At 40.8% G+C, this 15,938-nt stretch overlaps 1 protein-coding gene across 28 annotated transcripts in view, besides 7 other annotated features; it reads left to right on the top strand.

The window, feature by feature from the left end:
* The window catches only part of C11orf65 (chromosome 11 open reading frame 65), a 161,363-nt gene continuing 147,299 nt past the window's right edge, over positions 1,875-15,938 (top strand). For 15 of the 28 annotated variants that reach the window (XM_047426467.1, NM_001330368.2, XM_047426463.1 and 12 more), the window contains exons 1-2: positions 4,227-4,285; positions 10,188-10,277. In XM_047426467.1, coding sequence (XP_047282423.1) covers positions 10,197-10,277 — 81 coding nt within the window. In that variant the 5' untranslated portion in view covers positions 4,227-4,285; positions 10,188-10,196. Of the gene's footprint in view, positions 1,945-4,226; positions 4,805-9,115; positions 9,209-10,187; positions 10,278-15,938 lie in introns of those variants that run through there. The other 13 variants (NR_147053.3, XM_047426458.1, XM_047426466.1 and 10 more) reach the window with 3 other exon arrangements.
* Positions 4,071-4,215: an enhancer, noted in NCBI's record as "145 bp 11:108338340 sequence used in MPRA reporter constructs". NCBI's record gives its function as "activates a minimal TATA-containing promoter with rs4753840 allelic activity by MPRAs in C283T melanocytes and UACC903 melanoma cells {active_cell/tissue: C283T | UACC903}" and the evidence as "EXISTENCE:reporter gene assay evidence [ECO:0000049][PMID:36423637]".
* Positions 4,071-5,008: a biological region, named in NCBI's record as "NANOG-H3K27ac-H3K4me1 hESC enhancer GRCh37_chr11:108337475-108338327".
* Position 4,143: a transcriptional cis regulatory region, noted in NCBI's record as "rs4753840 or 11:108338340 MPRA-significant variant associated with a GWAS melanoma risk locus at 11q22.3". NCBI's record gives its function as "allelic transcriptional activity by MPRAs in C283T melanocytes and UACC903 melanoma cells {active_cell/tissue: C283T | UACC903}" and the evidence as "EXISTENCE:reporter gene assay evidence [ECO:0000049][PMID:36423637]".
* Positions 4,156-5,008: an enhancer, noted in NCBI's record as "NANOG-H3K27ac-H3K4me1 hESC enhancer chr11:108337475-108338327 (GRCh37/hg19 assembly coordinates)". NCBI's record gives its function as "activates a minimal SCP1, AML or CMV promoter by ChIP-STARR-seq in primed H9 embryonic stem cells {active_cell/tissue: H9 hESC(primed)}" and the evidence as "EXISTENCE:reporter gene assay evidence [ECO:0000049][PMID:30033119]".
* Positions 6,040-6,334: a silencer, noted in NCBI's record as "tiled region #13200; HepG2 Repressive non-DNase unmatched - State 24:Quies". NCBI's record gives its function as "represses a minimal TATA promoter and a strong SV40 promoter by Sharpr-MPRA in HepG2 cells {active_cell/tissue: HepG2}" and the evidence as "EXISTENCE:reporter gene assay evidence [ECO:0000049][PMID:27701403]".
* Positions 8,791-8,935: an enhancer, noted in NCBI's record as "145 bp 11:108333620 sequence used in MPRA reporter constructs". NCBI's record gives its function as "activates a minimal TATA-containing promoter with rs55930851 allelic activity by MPRAs in UACC903 melanoma cells {active_cell/tissue: UACC903}" and the evidence as "EXISTENCE:reporter gene assay evidence [ECO:0000049][PMID:36423637]".
* Position 8,863: a transcriptional cis regulatory region, noted in NCBI's record as "rs55930851 or 11:108333620 MPRA-significant variant associated with a GWAS melanoma risk locus at 11q22.3". NCBI's record gives its function as "allelic transcriptional activity by MPRAs in UACC903 melanoma cells {active_cell/tissue: UACC903}" and the evidence as "EXISTENCE:reporter gene assay evidence [ECO:0000049][PMID:36423637]".

Here is a 15,938-nt window from a genome sequence, read left to right as displayed (position 1 = left end):
GGGGTGGGATGACTGCTTGACCCCAGGAGTTTGAGATTACAGTGAGCTATGATCATGCCACTGCACTCCAGCCTGGACAACAGAGCAAGATCCTGTCTTGAAACCACCTCTGCAAAAATTATAAATGAGAAAATCATTACAGTGAAAGAGATCTGACCTAACCAACTCCATCTTGATTCTAACCTCCAAGCTGTCCCTGTTTATTCCTGGGCATAGGCCAAACTAACCTTGGGAGGAACTTAGTTTATAGTTTAACTTTGAAACAAAGATGGTAACAGCGCTTTCCCAAAAGAAGCCCTCTTCATGCCTGAGGATTAGACTGCCTTTGCAGGACTAACAAATTAGCTGAAACATAGAAATTATGATTTAGGATTCATACATCTGAAGGCTGCCAGACTTTGAGCCTCCTCAAATTGCTCCTGGGGATAACATCACTATTGTAAACCTAAAATCAGTGCTTGAGATATTTTGCAGACCCTGCACTTGATGATTCCACTAGCATCACTCAGATCAATAAACTGGCTTATCTGGTCTTGTGGCCCCGACCCAGGAACTGACTTAGCATAGGAGGACAGCTTCGACTCCCTTTGATTTCATCTCTGACCCAACTAATCAGCAGCTCCCCACTTTCTGATCCCCTACCCACCAAATTGTCCTTAAAAACCACAATCCCTGACATTTCAGGGAGACTGATTCAAGAAATAAAACTGCGGTCTCCCATACTGCCAACTCTGCAAGAATTAAACTCTATTGCAATTCCCCTGTCTTGATAAATTGGCTCTGTCTAGGCAGCAGACAAGGAGAACTCATTGTGTGGTTACAGTCTCAAAAAAAAAAAAAAGAAAAGAAAAGAAAAAATATTTAAGCTTGGCACCATTATTTTTGTTGATGGTGAAAATACTAAAAGGGGCCAGGCATGGTAGCTCACGCCTGTAATCCCAGTACTTTGGGAGGCCGAGGTGGGTGGATCACAAGGTCAGGAGATCGAGACCATCCTGGCTAACACAGTAAAACCCCATCTCTACTAAAAATACAAAAAATTAGCCAGGTATCATGGAGGGCGCCTGTAGTCCCAGCTACTTGGGAGGCTGAGGCAGGAGAATGGCGTGAACCCAGGAGGCAGAGCTTGCAGTGAGCTGAGATCCTGCCACTGCACTTCAGCCCGGGCAACAGAGCGAGACTCCATCTCAAAAACAAAAAAAAAAAAAGAAAAAGAAAATACAACAAGGGTACACAGAAGACAAACAGTCCCCTGGCATAACAAGAGTCACTGTAGTGAAGAGGACAGATTTCTCAGCCAAGAATTAGCTAAAGGTGCCAACTCCCTTCCTCTAGCCTCTTCAAACTGCTAAGCCTCAACAAGAGGATTGATGCCTGGTTGGAGGTCCCTCTGGCCTCCTTTAGGACCACTGCAGGACCTGTGCCTTTGACCCACACCCACTCCTCATGTGTGACATTGTGGTTTTCTACTACATGACATATTTTCCACAATTATAAAAGATTCCATGCTCACATCCGGGAGACAGCCTTGGAGTCCCCTATTGTTGGAGTTTGCTCCAGTGCCAAAGCAGAGAGGAAAGAAATGGCATATAATTGTGACTCTTCTCCCTAGGCAAAATGGCATGTAATTGTGACTCTTCTCCCTCGGCACTACAGATATTTCCCCTTTCCTCATGCCAATTCATTTTTGTTTCCTTATCTCTTGTCTTCACATGGTTTATAAAGAAAAATCTTTGCCTTGTAAGTGGAAAGCAAGAATATTAATTTCATAAATATAATATGATATATTGTATAATAGTAGTAAGACAAAGAAGAGAGAAAAAGAAGAGGAAGAGAATAAGTGGAGAGGGGAAGAGAGAAGGAAGGAAGGAACGATTTCTGTGAAACCACCCAGAAGTTCTTCTGAGTTCTGCGTCTTAGTAAACTGTTCCTAGATTTAAGCAGGTACATATAAATGAATAAACCTAACACTTGACAGTTTCTAGTCTTAATGATCCCTTGTGGCTACTTTAAAGAAAGATACTTTTAAAGAACTGAACAATTTTTACATGTATTAGAGCAATAAGAAAATGTTCTAGCCTGTTATGTAGAAATTGCTGAATTCTTGTGGATCAGGTTAGAGGTAACATAAGTACTCAACAGTAACTATTGTAAATACTTTTTAAAATAATTCAGATAAGCACTACATTAAAAATATGCAGTTTATTAGGTTGATGCAAAAGTAATCGCGGTTTTTGCCATTATGTTTAATTATGTATGTTTAATGACAAAAACCGCAATTACTTTTGCACCAACCTAATAAAAATAATATCTAAACAGCAGTATACCTTAAATTTATTTTTATATTTCATCCAGTACATTTAGGAATTTTTGTTCTAAATTATTTACTGGCTTAGTTTTGCAGTTTTTTAATTTAAAATTTTTAAATTGTGGTAAAATATACATAAATTTATCCTTCTAACTAGTTTCAATTGTACAATTCAGTGGACTTAAGTACATTCACATTGTTGTGTAATTTTGAATTTAATTTTTTTTTTTTTTTAGAGGGAATCTTGCTGTGTTGCCAGGCTGAAGTGCAATGGCGCTATCTCGGCTCACTGCAACCAACCTCTGCCTCCCGGGTTCTATCAATTCTCCTGCCTCAGCTTCCTGAGTAGCTGGGACTACAGGCAGCGCGCCACCAGGAGATTGAGACCATCCTGGCTAACACAGTAAAACCCCGTCTCTACTAAACATACAAAAAATTAGCCGGGTATCATGGAGGGCGCCTGTAGTCCCAGCTACTTGGGAGGCTGGGCTAATTTTTGTATTTTTAGTAGAGAGGGGGTTTCACCATGTTGTCCAGGCTGGTCTTGAACTCCTGACCTCAAGTGATCCGCCCACCTCAGCCTCCCAAAGTGCTGGGATTACAGGTGTGAGCCACCACACCTGGCCTGAATTTAAATTTTTTAACCCAGTTTCTATTAGATTGAAAATTAAGATATACATAATGTTTCCATGACTATATTTTTACAGTTTATTGTTCATAACTACTGTGTATTAATGCATCAAGGCAACTACATAAAGAGGAACTGAAGCTCACCCCTTGCTTATGATTGTGATGATTTTAAAGAACTCTGGAAGTTCAGTGAGTCACTGAATTAACCTACCAAGAATTTTTTCTGTACAAATGTTTTCATTATACAGGGAAATTTCTCTTCAGGTGTTTCTTTTCCCTCCTTAAAAGTTTATCTTCCTTACAAACAAATTATATTCCATGCATGAACATAGGACGAACATAGCAAAACTGGGCAGTTCTGAACAAGATTTTTTCACATTGCAATAATCTGTGACCAACTAAAGCACTGCCAAAGTGTCAGACTCAGAATTCAAGCAAGTCAGACTTGCTTTAGATAAGCAGTGCTTGCATTATTTAAGGTCATTTGAAAACTCATTCAAGAGGTCGTCTGTTTTCACTTAAAGCAGTTTAGCTTAACCAGCTGAAGAGCTTACATTTAGAAATAACATTGGACTGCAAGTCACGTATTCTTTGACCTTGAGCAAGACCTGTCAAATAGCTAGAAGGATCAGTTGTCTCATTTTCAAATGAATAAATTAAACTAATTAAATAGGCCGGGCGCGGTGGTTCACGCCTGTAATCCTAGCACTTTGGGAGGCCAAGGCGGGAGATGGGGTAGGGGGGGATCGCTGGAGCCCAGGAGTTCAAGACCAGCCTGGACAACATGGAGAAACCCTGTCGCCACTATTAATAAAAATAGAAAAATGAGCCTGGCGTGGTGGTGCACTCCTACGGTCCCAGCTACTCGGGAGGCTGACGTGGGAGAATCACCTGAGCCAGGGGAGTTCCAGGCTGCAGTGAGCCGAGATCGCGCCACTGCACTCCAGCCTCGGCCACAGATTGAGACCCTATCTCAAGAAAAATTTTACAAAAATTAATAGAAAATATTTCATTATATTTCTCAACATCTTTAAGGTTCTTGGTTGAAATGACTGGGCTTTATTATATACTAAGCCCAACTTCGTAGACAATCACTTTGCTTTCCCTTCCAAAATCCTTTGCCTCAAAGCCACTGACAATCGAAAGCGGGCTTCTAACAGAACCAGCAGCCTTCACAAGCGGTTGGTCTATATCCCCTGCACTTTGTCAGAGCGCGAATAGAGGAAAGGCGGGGCCTAGAAGGCGGGGCTAGGAGGGCAATGGGGCGGGACAGAACGGATTGAGTTACGTCATTTCCGCCTGCGACGTTACCTAGGAGTCCAGCGGCGCCCGGGCCAGCAGCGATTGGTAGGTGAAGGGAATAGTGTCCCTTCTCTCAGCGCGTACTACTGTTCCGGTAGCCTTTGTGCCCACTGGTTTGAGCCTTCGTTGTTTCAAGGCCCTAAAGAACCCATACCCTTGATACCATTCCCCATCCGCCCCTCTTAAGGACGTTTCATTCCTCTAAAGCCCTCCCAGCGAGGCCTCCAGCTGGTTTACAGTCCTGCCCGGGAGTAACCCCTTCCTCAGAGCTCCTTTCCTCGCCCTCGGTGAAGTTGCGTCGGGCTGGTTGACAAGTCCTTACTGCTCATACTGCGCCTTCACAGATCCCCACACCCCAATCCTCCGCAAAGATATTACTCCGTCCACCTTCCCGCTGACCGGGAAGTACACATTAATCTTCCTTAGATTTTTCCTCATTTCTTTCCTTTGCCCCCTCCCATTTGTTTTACGTCTTTTCAGTTTTTTTAGAGATGGAAAAGGGAAACGCGTTTTTAAAGAATAGGTTAGTTTTTCTTCTCCTGCCCCTAGCATCAAGGACCACAGGTAAAAAGGAAAAGCGAAATTACGAAACTTATAAAGGCCACGCGAATCATTTGTTTATTCAATAAATTTAGTAGAGGAAACAAAATAGGACGTATACAGGTTCCAATTCAAGCAAAGTAAAGATTGTTTGCTGCTTTAAAAGTGAAACCAAGAATCCAAACACGTCTTGTGGGCTTTTTTCCACGAAGCGTAAAAATAAATAAGTGAAAACATCATCTATTATGATAAAAAATTTTATTGATTAGGGATATAATAAGCTTGGAAAATACTTATCTGTGAATCTACAAGTGGCACATGGGTGTAGTAAAATACTTCATTGCCTGAGCAGTTGTTTGATAGTACATTTTATTTGGTTAGTTTTTTGTTGTTGTTTGTTTTTGAGAAGGCATCTCGCTGTGTTGCCCAGGCTGAGTGCAGTGGCGTGATCTCAGTTCACTGCAACCTCTGCCTCCTGGGTTCAAGTTATTCTCCTGCCTCAGCCTTCCGAGTAGCTGTGACTGCAAGTGTGCGCCACCACACCCAGTTTATTTTTGTATTTTTACTAGAGACAGGGTTTCACCATATTGGCCAGGCTGGTCTCAAACCCCTGACTTAAGGTGATCTGCCCACCTTGGCCTCCCAAAATGTTAGGATTACAGGCCTGAGCCACCAGACCCGGCCTGGTAGTACATTTTAGTATCTTAAAACTTATGAAGGGTTTTCACAATGGTTATTTTATCTGGAGCATCATAATAACCATATAAAGTCGATCTTATTTCTTATCTAAAGCCAGCAACGGTCCCACCCTCCTTTCTGCTCCAGATGGTGTCCTCTTACACCTACTCAAAGGTTTTACCATTTAACTTATCCCTTTTTTTGCCCCTTTAAGTTCTCCGTCACTTTAATTTCTCCCTCACTACTGGATGGTACATTTTAACATGCTTTAGAATCTGTCGTTTTTTGTTGTTGTTGTTGTTTTTTTTTTTTTTTAGACCGAGTTTCACTCTTGTTGCCCAGGCTGGAGTAGTGGCATGATCTCGACTCACCGCAACCTCCGCCTGCCAGGTTCAAGCAATTCTCCTGCCTCAGCCTTCCTGAGTAGCTGGGATTACAGGCATGCGCCACCACACCCAGCTAATTTTGTATTTTTAGTAGAGACGGGATTTCTCCATTTTGGTCAGGCTGGTCTCAAACTCCCAACCTCAGATGATCCGCCCACCTTGGCCTCCCAAAGTGCTGGGATTACAGGCGTGAGCCACCGCGCCCAGCCTTTTTTTTTTAAAAAAAAACCTTTAATCCATTCTCACTCTCTAGCTACACCCCATTTTTCTGCTCCCTTACAGCACTCCAAAGAATTACTACTGTACTTACTGTCTCAACTTTCCCACTTCCTCAACCCAACCCAAACTTCCTTCCCTGCTTACTCCACTGAAGCAGTGCCTGTACAGTCACTAGTGACTTTATCTGGCCAAATCTCCCTTTTTTTCCTCTGTATTTACTTGCCCTTGCAACAATATTTGACACAATTGAATATGTTCTTTCTTGAAATTGTGGAACTTCATTGTTTATTTCTGAATCAGATAATTTTGAATGCTGGAATATATTTCCTCTATATTTTGTGTATTCATAAACATATAATGGTGGCATTTATGACATACTTTTTTGGCAGCTTCTAAACACCCTTTAGCCTATGTCACTAGAGAAGCAGGAAGCAGGTGTATGCAGAAAGCCCGTGTAAAATTATTTAGATCAAAGTATTCAATAAACTGGTTCAGGATTTTCAAGGGATTTTTAAGATCCAGTGTTAAATTTCCACCTACAAAATTGGGAATGTATTTGGGAAAATGATGAAATTGTGATGAATTAATGCTAATGCTGTCACGTTAAATAACACACACACTACATTGATAACAGGTAAAAAATCTCACAGTTTAGTTCTTGGAAAGTATTAAAAGACCCATTTTAATCCTAATATCTAATTTACGTTTAGTTTTTTACTTTTCTAAAATTTAGAGTCAAGCATTCCCATAGAATGTTTATGGGCATAAATTAGACACCATTTTTGAGGACAGTTTGGCAGTGTTAGGTTTCAATATGCACGCTGTTTTTTTTAATGAAGTTATATTGTATATATCTGAACTAAATGCACATTGTGGAAAAATACCAACAGCATAAAAGAGTATACTGGAACAAAAACATCTCTTCCCTTTCCGAACCCAGGCTCCTCAGTCCACAGGTCCCTTCCTAGAGACAATCATTCTTAGTAATTTCTCATATCCCTTTCCAGAGAGAGTCAATTCAAATATATATGTGCACCAGGCGCAGTGGCTCATGCCTGTAATCCCAGCGCTTTGGGAGGCCGAGGTGGGTGGATCACGAGGTCAAGAGATGGAGACCATTCTGACCAACATGGTGAAACCCCATCTCTACTTAAAATACAAAAATTAACTGGGCACGGTGGTGCACACCTGTAGTGCCAGCTACTTGGGAGGCTGAGGCAGGAGAATCACTTGAACCCGGGAGGCGGAGGTTGCAGTGAGTGGAAATCGCGGGGAGGCTAAGGCAGGAGAATCGCTTGAACCCAGGAGGCGGAGGTTGCAGTGCACCAAAATCGCTCCACTGCATTCCAGCCTGGCGACAGAGCGAGACTCCGTCTCAGAAAACAAACAAAAAACAGAAATATATATGTGCATACCTTTTGTCATAGCAATTCCACTTGTAAAAACTATCCTACAAAAATTGTTGCCGCTGAGCGCAATGGCTTATGCCTGTAATGCTAGCACTTTGGGAGGCCAAGGCGGGTGGATTTCTTGAGGCCAGCAGTTCGAGCCCACCCTGGCCAACAGGGTGAAACTCTGTCTCTACTAAAAATACAAAAATTAGCCAGGCGTGGTGGCACACACCTGTAATCCCAGCTACTCAGGAGGCTGAGACATGAGAATCACTTGAACCCGGGAGGTGGAGGTTGCAGTGAGCTGAGATGATGTCTCTGCACTCCAGCCTGGGTGACAGAGCAAAATTCTGTCTCAAAAAAAAAAAAAAAAAAAATTAACAAATCTTTTAGGCCTGAAATATCATTCCTTAATCTCATTTGTGCTAACAGTTATTTGTAAATTAAGAGAATAATTGTACTTAAAATGTTATCTCAGTTTCCTAACTGGAATAATGCACATGAATAGTTTTTATTTTGGAAAATAGTTTGTATTATAATAATATGATTTATTGAGTGGCTATGGTGGGTCAGAAACTATACTAAATGCTTTACCTGTGTTATCTGACTTAATCCTAACAATTCTATGAGTTAGGTACAATGAGTCCCCATATTTTACAGATGAGTAACTTGAAGTTTGAGTGAGTTAAGTAACTTCGGCAAAATCATGCAGCTAAGAATGAGGTAGAATTTGTTGAGATTTAAACCCTGGTCTATCTTGCCTCAGAGTCCAAAGACTTAACCTGTCTTCCCATGCCTCCTATATTAATAAGGCTATTTGTAGGGAAAGCAAAAAAGACATAAGTTTTTTTCATAGCGAACCTTCTCCCAACTCTTAAAAATGTGAATTTAAAAAACAACAATTTACCAAATTAGGAAGAAAACACCTTTAGTTTTAAGCATCTGAATAACTTTAAACGTCAAAAGGGAAAAATGGCAAGTTGAGAAATATATAAATACATTTTTCTTATGAATGGCGTATCCTTTTTGAAAGTTTTCTGTTTAGCCTCTGTCTTTCTAAACATTAGTAGATGTATGTTATATGTTTAAATAGGTCAGGGCTTTGGGATTTGTAAATCCTTACACGTTTTGCATTTTACATGCACCAATTCAGAGTTTACATTTTTATTATTTTTAGAGACATGGTCTCATTTTGTGGCCCAGGCTGGAGTGCAGTGGTGCAATCATAGCTCACTGCAGTTTTGAACTCCTGGGCTCAAGCCATCCTCCTGTTTCAGCCTCCCAAGTAGCTAGGACTACAGTATGTGCCAACCTGCCCAGCTTTTTGTTGTTGTTGCTGTTGTTGTAGAGATGGGGGTCTCGCTATATTGCCCAGGCTGGTGTTGAACTCCTGGCCTCAAGAAATCCTCCTGCCTTGGCCTCCCAAAACCATGGGATTACAGGCATGAGTCACTATATTCAGCCCAGAATTTTAAGCTTTTAAGCAAAATTTGTTCACTTTGGATTATGATAAAGCATGTCAGAACCATATTGCTACTGTAAATGTAATGAGTGACATTATTCTGTGAAGTATTAATAACTCTTAAGACTAAGTAAAAATCCATGTTTCTCCCTGTATTCAGTGCATGACCTTTTTTTCCTTTTATATTTGACCACATAAGGTCTAATTTTAGGTTAGGGACCTGCGCAATTTTGTGGATGCAACTCTGTCTCTATGCACGTTAAGAAAGGTTTATTTGAAGTCATACAACAGGGTATGTAAAAGTCATGGACTTTCAAGATAAACTTGAATTCAATAACTGGTTTAGTTACTCACTATTTGACCTTAGGCCTTAAAGCCTAGGCTCCTCATCTCTAACACAAGCATATTAGCAAAATCTGTTATGCAGGGTTGTTGCTGGAACTAGAAAAAAATATACAAATTAGAACATATTAAATCACCAATAATTGCTGACTACTTTTGGTGCAGTGGCTCATGCCTGTAATCCAAGCACTTTCAGAGGCAGAGGTGGGAGGATCGCTTGAGTACAAGAATTCAAGACCAGCCTGGGAAACATAGCAAGAACCTGTCTCTACAAAAAATTTTAAAAATTAGCTAGGCATCGTAGCATGTGCCTGTAGTCCCAGCTACTCAGGAGGGTGAGGCAGGAGGAGCAATCGAGCCTAAGAGTTCAAGGCTGCAGTGACCTATGATCCTGCCATGGCATTCTAGCCAAGGCAACAGAGAAAGACTCTGTCTCTTAAAAAATAAGAAGGTGACTATTTTTATTTTTATTATTTTGATACAAAATCTTATTTTAATTGTTTTATTTATACAACTCTATTTAATTTTCATTGAGTTCTAGTGGTAGTTTTATAATAGAGCATATAAAATAATTTTAGGCTGGGCGCGGTGGCTCACGCTTACAATCCCAGCACTTTGGGAGGCCAAGCCAGAAGGTGTTTGACACCAGCCTGGGCAACATAGCAAGACCCCATCTCTACAAAAAAATAATAATTAAAAAAAGAAAGCCAGGTGTGATGGTGCACGCCTACAATCCCAGCTACTTAGGAGGTTAAGGCAAGAGGATCACTTGAGCCCAGCAGTTTGAGGCTACAGTGAGCTATCATCGCACCACTGCACTCCAGCTTGGGTGACAGAGCAAGAATGTGTCTCTAAAAAAAATAAATAAATAAAAATGAAAGTAAATTAAAATTATTTTAAATGTACCCTTTTTGCTCATTTTCTTTTAGGAATTTCAAATGCCTTGGAAAGAGGAATCAGAATTTACAAAGCAGGATAAGGCTGCCAGAGTCATTCAGCAGGCCTGGAAAAGTTTCCTTGTGAGTTTATTTAGAAGTTTTATTGAAATATAATTTTTATGTCATAAAATTTAAAGTGTACAGTTCAATTTTTTTTTTTAAGACAGAATCTCTCTCTGTTGCCTAGGCTGGAGTGCAGTGGCATGATATTGGGTCACTGCAGCCTCTGCCTCCCAGGTTTGAGCAATTCTCCCACCTCAGCCTCCCCAGTAGCTGGGATTACAGGTGCACCACCATGCTTGGCTAATTTTTGAATTTTTAGTAGAGACGGGGTTTCACCATGTTGGCCAGGCTGGTCCCGAACTCCTGACTTCAGGTGATCCACCCTCCTTGGCCTCCCAAAGTGCTGGGATTACAGGCGTGAGCCACTGCACCCAGCCAGTTCAATACTTTTTATATAAAGTGTACAATTCAGTAGCTTTTAGTATACTTGCAGAATTGTGTGCCATTCTTCACTTTAAAAAGCAGACTTTTTGGCCGGGCGTGGTGGCTCACGACTGTAATCCCAGCACTTTGAGAGGCTGAGGCAGGCGGATCATCTGAGGTCGGGAGTTTGAGACCAGCCTGACGAACATGGAGAGACCCTGTCTCTACTAAAAATACAAAATTAGCTGGGTGTGGTGGCGCATGCCTGTAATCCCAGCTACACGGGAGGCTGAGGCAGAAGAATCACTTGAACTTGGGAGGCGGAGGTTGTGATGAGCCGAGATCACGCCATTGCACTTCAGCCTGGGCAGCAGCAGCAGCAACAACAACAACAACAACAACAACAAAGCAGACTTTTTTAACATTTCAAAAAGTTACAATTATTTCACTAGCTGCACAAATATTTATTGAGTTCCTGATCTGGGCCAGGCACTTTTATAATGGCTATCAATGAAAGTATCATTAATAAGATTATTTGCCTTTCACCTCTCAACACTTTATTTCTTGACTGAGGAACCAGCATTGTGAGCAGATGTTAGGAATATAGCCACTCATTAAATATTTATTGAGTACTTATTCTCGAGGAGCTTCAAGTTTATTAATAATACACTATATCCGGGTTAATGTCGTGGTCACTTGTGCTTTTATAAGGGTAGAGCTGGTCTTATAGGTGTAAGGAATATTCCAAGTTGAATTATCTGGTTGGGTGAGAGCCAAGAGGTAAAATGACCTCACTCTTTTCTCTCTGATAGCAGCAGGACTCTGTGCCTGGTAATTTTAAGTGAAGTAATATGGCTCTGTTTCTAGCACACACTGATACAAAGGTTTTATGGCTTACAAGACCACCTTTGTATCAGTTAATCCCATTTTGTAAAGTTGCTTCATTATTTGCCTCTACCAAGGCCATAAAACCTATGCTGGGGTATAACTATGTTGATTTCTAACACTAAAATAATATGTGTTTTTTTAAGATACAGGGATCTCACTATGTTGCCCAGGATGGTCTCAAACTCCTGGGCTCAAGTGATCCTCCAACCTCAGCTTCCCAAGTAACTTGCCCTATAGCCGAGCACTGTTATACCCAGCTAATCTTCTTTTAAAACTTATTCTTCCTTAGTTGGTTTTGATTGACATACACATCATCTAGGCGTAAGCTTTTCTATCGTTTGCAGCTATTTTCTCTCACATCCAACCAGCCACACACCTTTGACTAGCTGTTGTGTTCCTGACATTGTGCTAGGCATTTCAGAATACATCCTTGCCCTTGAAGGAGCTTCAGCAGAGAAGCCATGTAAATAAAGAGGTGTGTGTGTGTGTGTGTGTGTGTGTGTGTGTGTGTGTGTGTGTAGACGGAGGACACATTTTCACCTTCTATCTCTCCAGAACCCCATTGAAACGACACTGTGTAGAAGGTTAATCCATAACAAAGAGAAGGGGGTTCATGAGCAGATAAAAATTTTATCTAATTTTTGGAAAACTAAAAATAGATGATAGCATCCTTTGGAAAAACTGTAGAAACACTTGCCTAGACACATTTCATAGGGGTTCCAATGAGGGAATTGGTTTGCCATTGGAACCCCAGAGAGGATATGAATTTGGAGTTAACAATTTAAAAGAGCTGGAAGGAGAAGGACTGAAGACAGGGGTTAATTGAAGGTCTGTATATGGGGCAGCTGTGCCAGTTGTCTCCAGTCTTTTGCAGACCAAGAGCTGCAGGTAGGTGGATGTTTACTGCTAGTCACAAATCTGCTTGTAGACAGATACATACTATTAGGCAAAAAAGACACAAAGAAACCCTGGAGTCTTATCTCTTTTTTAAAAAAAAATGAAAAATGAAAAATCAAATGAACTATCTGAGAAAGCTAGTTCTAGCATGAATTTGGCATTCCACAGTGAAACCCTCTTAATTTTGTTGTGTTGCCTCTTAATTTTGGTATTTGAGAGACACCCTGCTTAATAGCTGGCTACTTGACGATACCCATTAGAGAAAGCCTGGTAATTACTTACTCCACTCATGTCATGAAGCCCCCAGGCAATTTTCCCACTCCTGAGTGAGAACACTGGGTAGACAGAATACTAACAAAAGATACTCGTACTAGCGCCTAGAAAAACTGACACAGACTTTCATTCTTAAGTATTAATGGACAACCAAGGTTCACTTTTTTTTTCCCACATAATTGTGAGATTTATTGAGTGAGATACCACTTTCCATTTACCAGAAAGGCTGAGATCAAAGTTTGTGGTTCTGGGGACAGGACTGGGATGGCTGTGACGGGAATGTGGAGACCTCTCACTGCATGCCCTTCCCTACTTTTTTAAATTTTGTGCCATCTGCAAACATTACCTAGTCAAAAAATTAATAAAATACTTAAAAATATGAGTTGGTTAGGGCATGGGGAAATAGGCATTCTTGTTCTGAGAGGAGGTGGTGTGGACAGAAACTTCTGTATGTTGGACAATAGTGATATTTATCCAAATGTTAAACAGGCACACCTTTTACCCAATGATATCTGGTCTAGTCTAGGAATTTCACCCACACCTGGGGGAAACGACACCCAAGTCTGTTCACCACTGCATGATTTGTGCTGATCCTGAGAGGCTGGCCTGAGCATCTAACCCTCTTTGAAGACCATGCTGACTCTGAACAAAGACCAGAAGCTAGACTTCCTGTCTGGTGATCTTCTCCAACCACCTCTTTTTTTTTTTTTTTTTTTTTTTGAGACAGAGTCTTGCTCTGTCTCCCAGGCTGCAATGCAGTGGTGTAATTTTGGCGCCTCCCAGTTCAAGTGATTCTCGTGCCTCAGCCTCCCGAGTAGGTGGGATACCGGCACGTGCCACCACACCCAAGGTTCACTTTTAGGGAAAACCAATAATGTCAAAACAAAAAGAAAAAGAAAGAAAAAAAAGATAGAACCTGAAGAAAACAAAAATAGTAATAAATTTAAATTAGATCAGGATATTGAGTGCCTCTAAGAGGGTTATATATGGGAGGAAAATGGTACCCCATGCAATAGAAAGTATGACAGAGGCTGGATTTAGAAAAAAGAGGTTAGAAACTCTGAAAAAGAGCTAACTGTGAAAGTCATGGTTCAGATATGACAGATTAAAATTGTTCTAAGATGTGAAGAGAATACATTTGCTCTTGATTCTAGACACAGCATCTTGATTCTAGATACAGTCAAGTGGGTGACTTCTAAAAAAAGGATGCATAGTTTTAGCACATTGCTTGGCTGTAGAAGTGAATTATTTGCATAGTTATAGTAATGTAAATGTAGGGATTTTAAAAAATTAAATATTTTAATCAAAGTAACATGAGTACTTCTTTAATAAGTAATATAGAATAATTTATTATGAAAAATAAATATTTTACCCCATCCTACTTTCTTTCACCCTCATACACTAAAAGCAACCGTTTTTAACTTTCTTTTTTTGAGATGGAGTCTTGCTCTGTTGCCCAGGCTGGAATGCAGTGGTGCAATCTCGGCTCACTGCAACCTTCGCCTCCCAGGTTCAATCAGTTCTCTGCCTCAGCCTCCCGAGTACCTGGGATTACAGGCGCCCACTACCACACCCAGCTGAGTTTTTTGTATTTTTAGTAGAGATGAGGTTTCACCATCTTGGCCAGGCTGATCTTGAACTCCTGACCTAGTGATCCACCCACCTCTCCCTCCCTAAGTGCTGGGATTACAGGTGTGAGCCACCGCGCCTGGCCCATTTTTAACTATTTTTATTGTAGATCTTCTAGTAGTTACTTCCATGCTTCTAAATAATGTGCGTGTACAATTATCTTTTATTAACTTTAGAAGTAATCTGTTGGCTTTCTGCAAAGATAATTGAGAGGGTAGGTTACTTACCCTCCACAGCCCTGCTTATCTCCCCTCCCAGTATCATCATGTTTTTTTTTAATTCCTCTATTTTATTACCTTATTGGTTTAAAGAATATTTAAGTCTTAGTTTCTTGTTCCATCAGGCTGACATAGAATCACTTGACTTCCCATTATATATGATGAGAACAAAGTATCCCTACCCTTTTCTTTACCTCTCCTCTCCATCTTCAAACCGCCAAGATCTATTACCTGTACTATTACGTTATAAGTATTCTCTGGAGGAGTTCATACATCCTGAATGCAAGTCCTTTGTTAAATACTATATGTGTTGAATATCTTCTCCCAGGCTTGCCTCGTTCCTCTAAGATGTTCTTAATGAAAAGAAGTCTTTAATTTTAATAAAGTCCAATTTGTGACTTTTTCTCTTTCTTTCCTTCTTTCCTTTCTTTCTTTCTTTTTTTTTTCTTTCTTTGATAGGGTTTCACTCTTTTGCCCATGCTAGAGTGCAGTTGCATGATCACAGTTCACTGTAACCTTGAACTCCTGGGCTCAAGCAATCCTCCTGCCTCAGCCTCCTGTTTGGACTACAGGTGTGCACTACCATGCCTGGCTAATTTTTTAATTTTTTGTAGAGACAGGGTCTAGGTATGTTGCCAAGGCTGGTGTTGAACTCCTGGCCTCAAGCAGTCCTCCCACCTTGGCCTCCGAAAGTGCTGAGATTACAGAGGTGAGCCACCATGCCCAGCCACCACTTTTTCTTCATGGTTAGTGCTTTCTGGGTCCTGTTTAAGAAATTTTGTCTAACCTAGTCAGAAGATATTTTCCTTATGTTTGTTCTAGAGGCTTAATTGCTTTAGTTTCAGATTGATATATAGTATCCATCTCAAATTAATTGTTGTGTATACTTAGAGGTACAAAGTTCATTTTTTTCTTATGGATATCCAACTGATCAAATACCTTTGAAAATACCATCCTTTTCACAATGAATTGCTGTGGTGCCATTGTTTAAATCATGTAATCATATATGTAAAGTGTTTCTATAGTGTCTATTCTGTTGCATTGGTCTATTTGTGTATATTTATTTGTTTATTTAAGACAGAGTCTCACCCTGTTGCCTAGGCTGGAGTGCAGTGGCACAATCTCAGCTCACTGAAATCTCCACCTCCCAGGTTCAAGCAATTCTCCTGCCTCAGCCTCCCAAATAGCTGGGACTACAGGCATGGGTCACCATGCCTGGATACTTTCTGTACTTTTTGTAGATGGGGTGTCTTGCCGTGTTGCCCGTGCTGGTCTCTTAACTCCTGAGCTCAAGTGATCTACCCACCTTGGCCTCCCAAAGTTCTGGGATTACAGGCATGAACCACCACAGCTGGCCCATGTCTTTGGATCTTAAATTTCTCTCCATGTTTTTTTTTTTTTTTTTTTTTTT

Source organism: Homo sapiens, chromosome 11, assembly GCF_000001405.40.
Source record: "Homo sapiens chromosome 11, GRCh38.p14 Primary Assembly".
Lineage (NCBI taxonomy): Eukaryota > Metazoa > Chordata > Mammalia > Primates > Hominidae > Homo > Homo sapiens.
The sequence above is the reverse complement of the archived record's forward strand: the minus strand, read 5'-3'. Positions and strand labels throughout refer to the sequence as shown.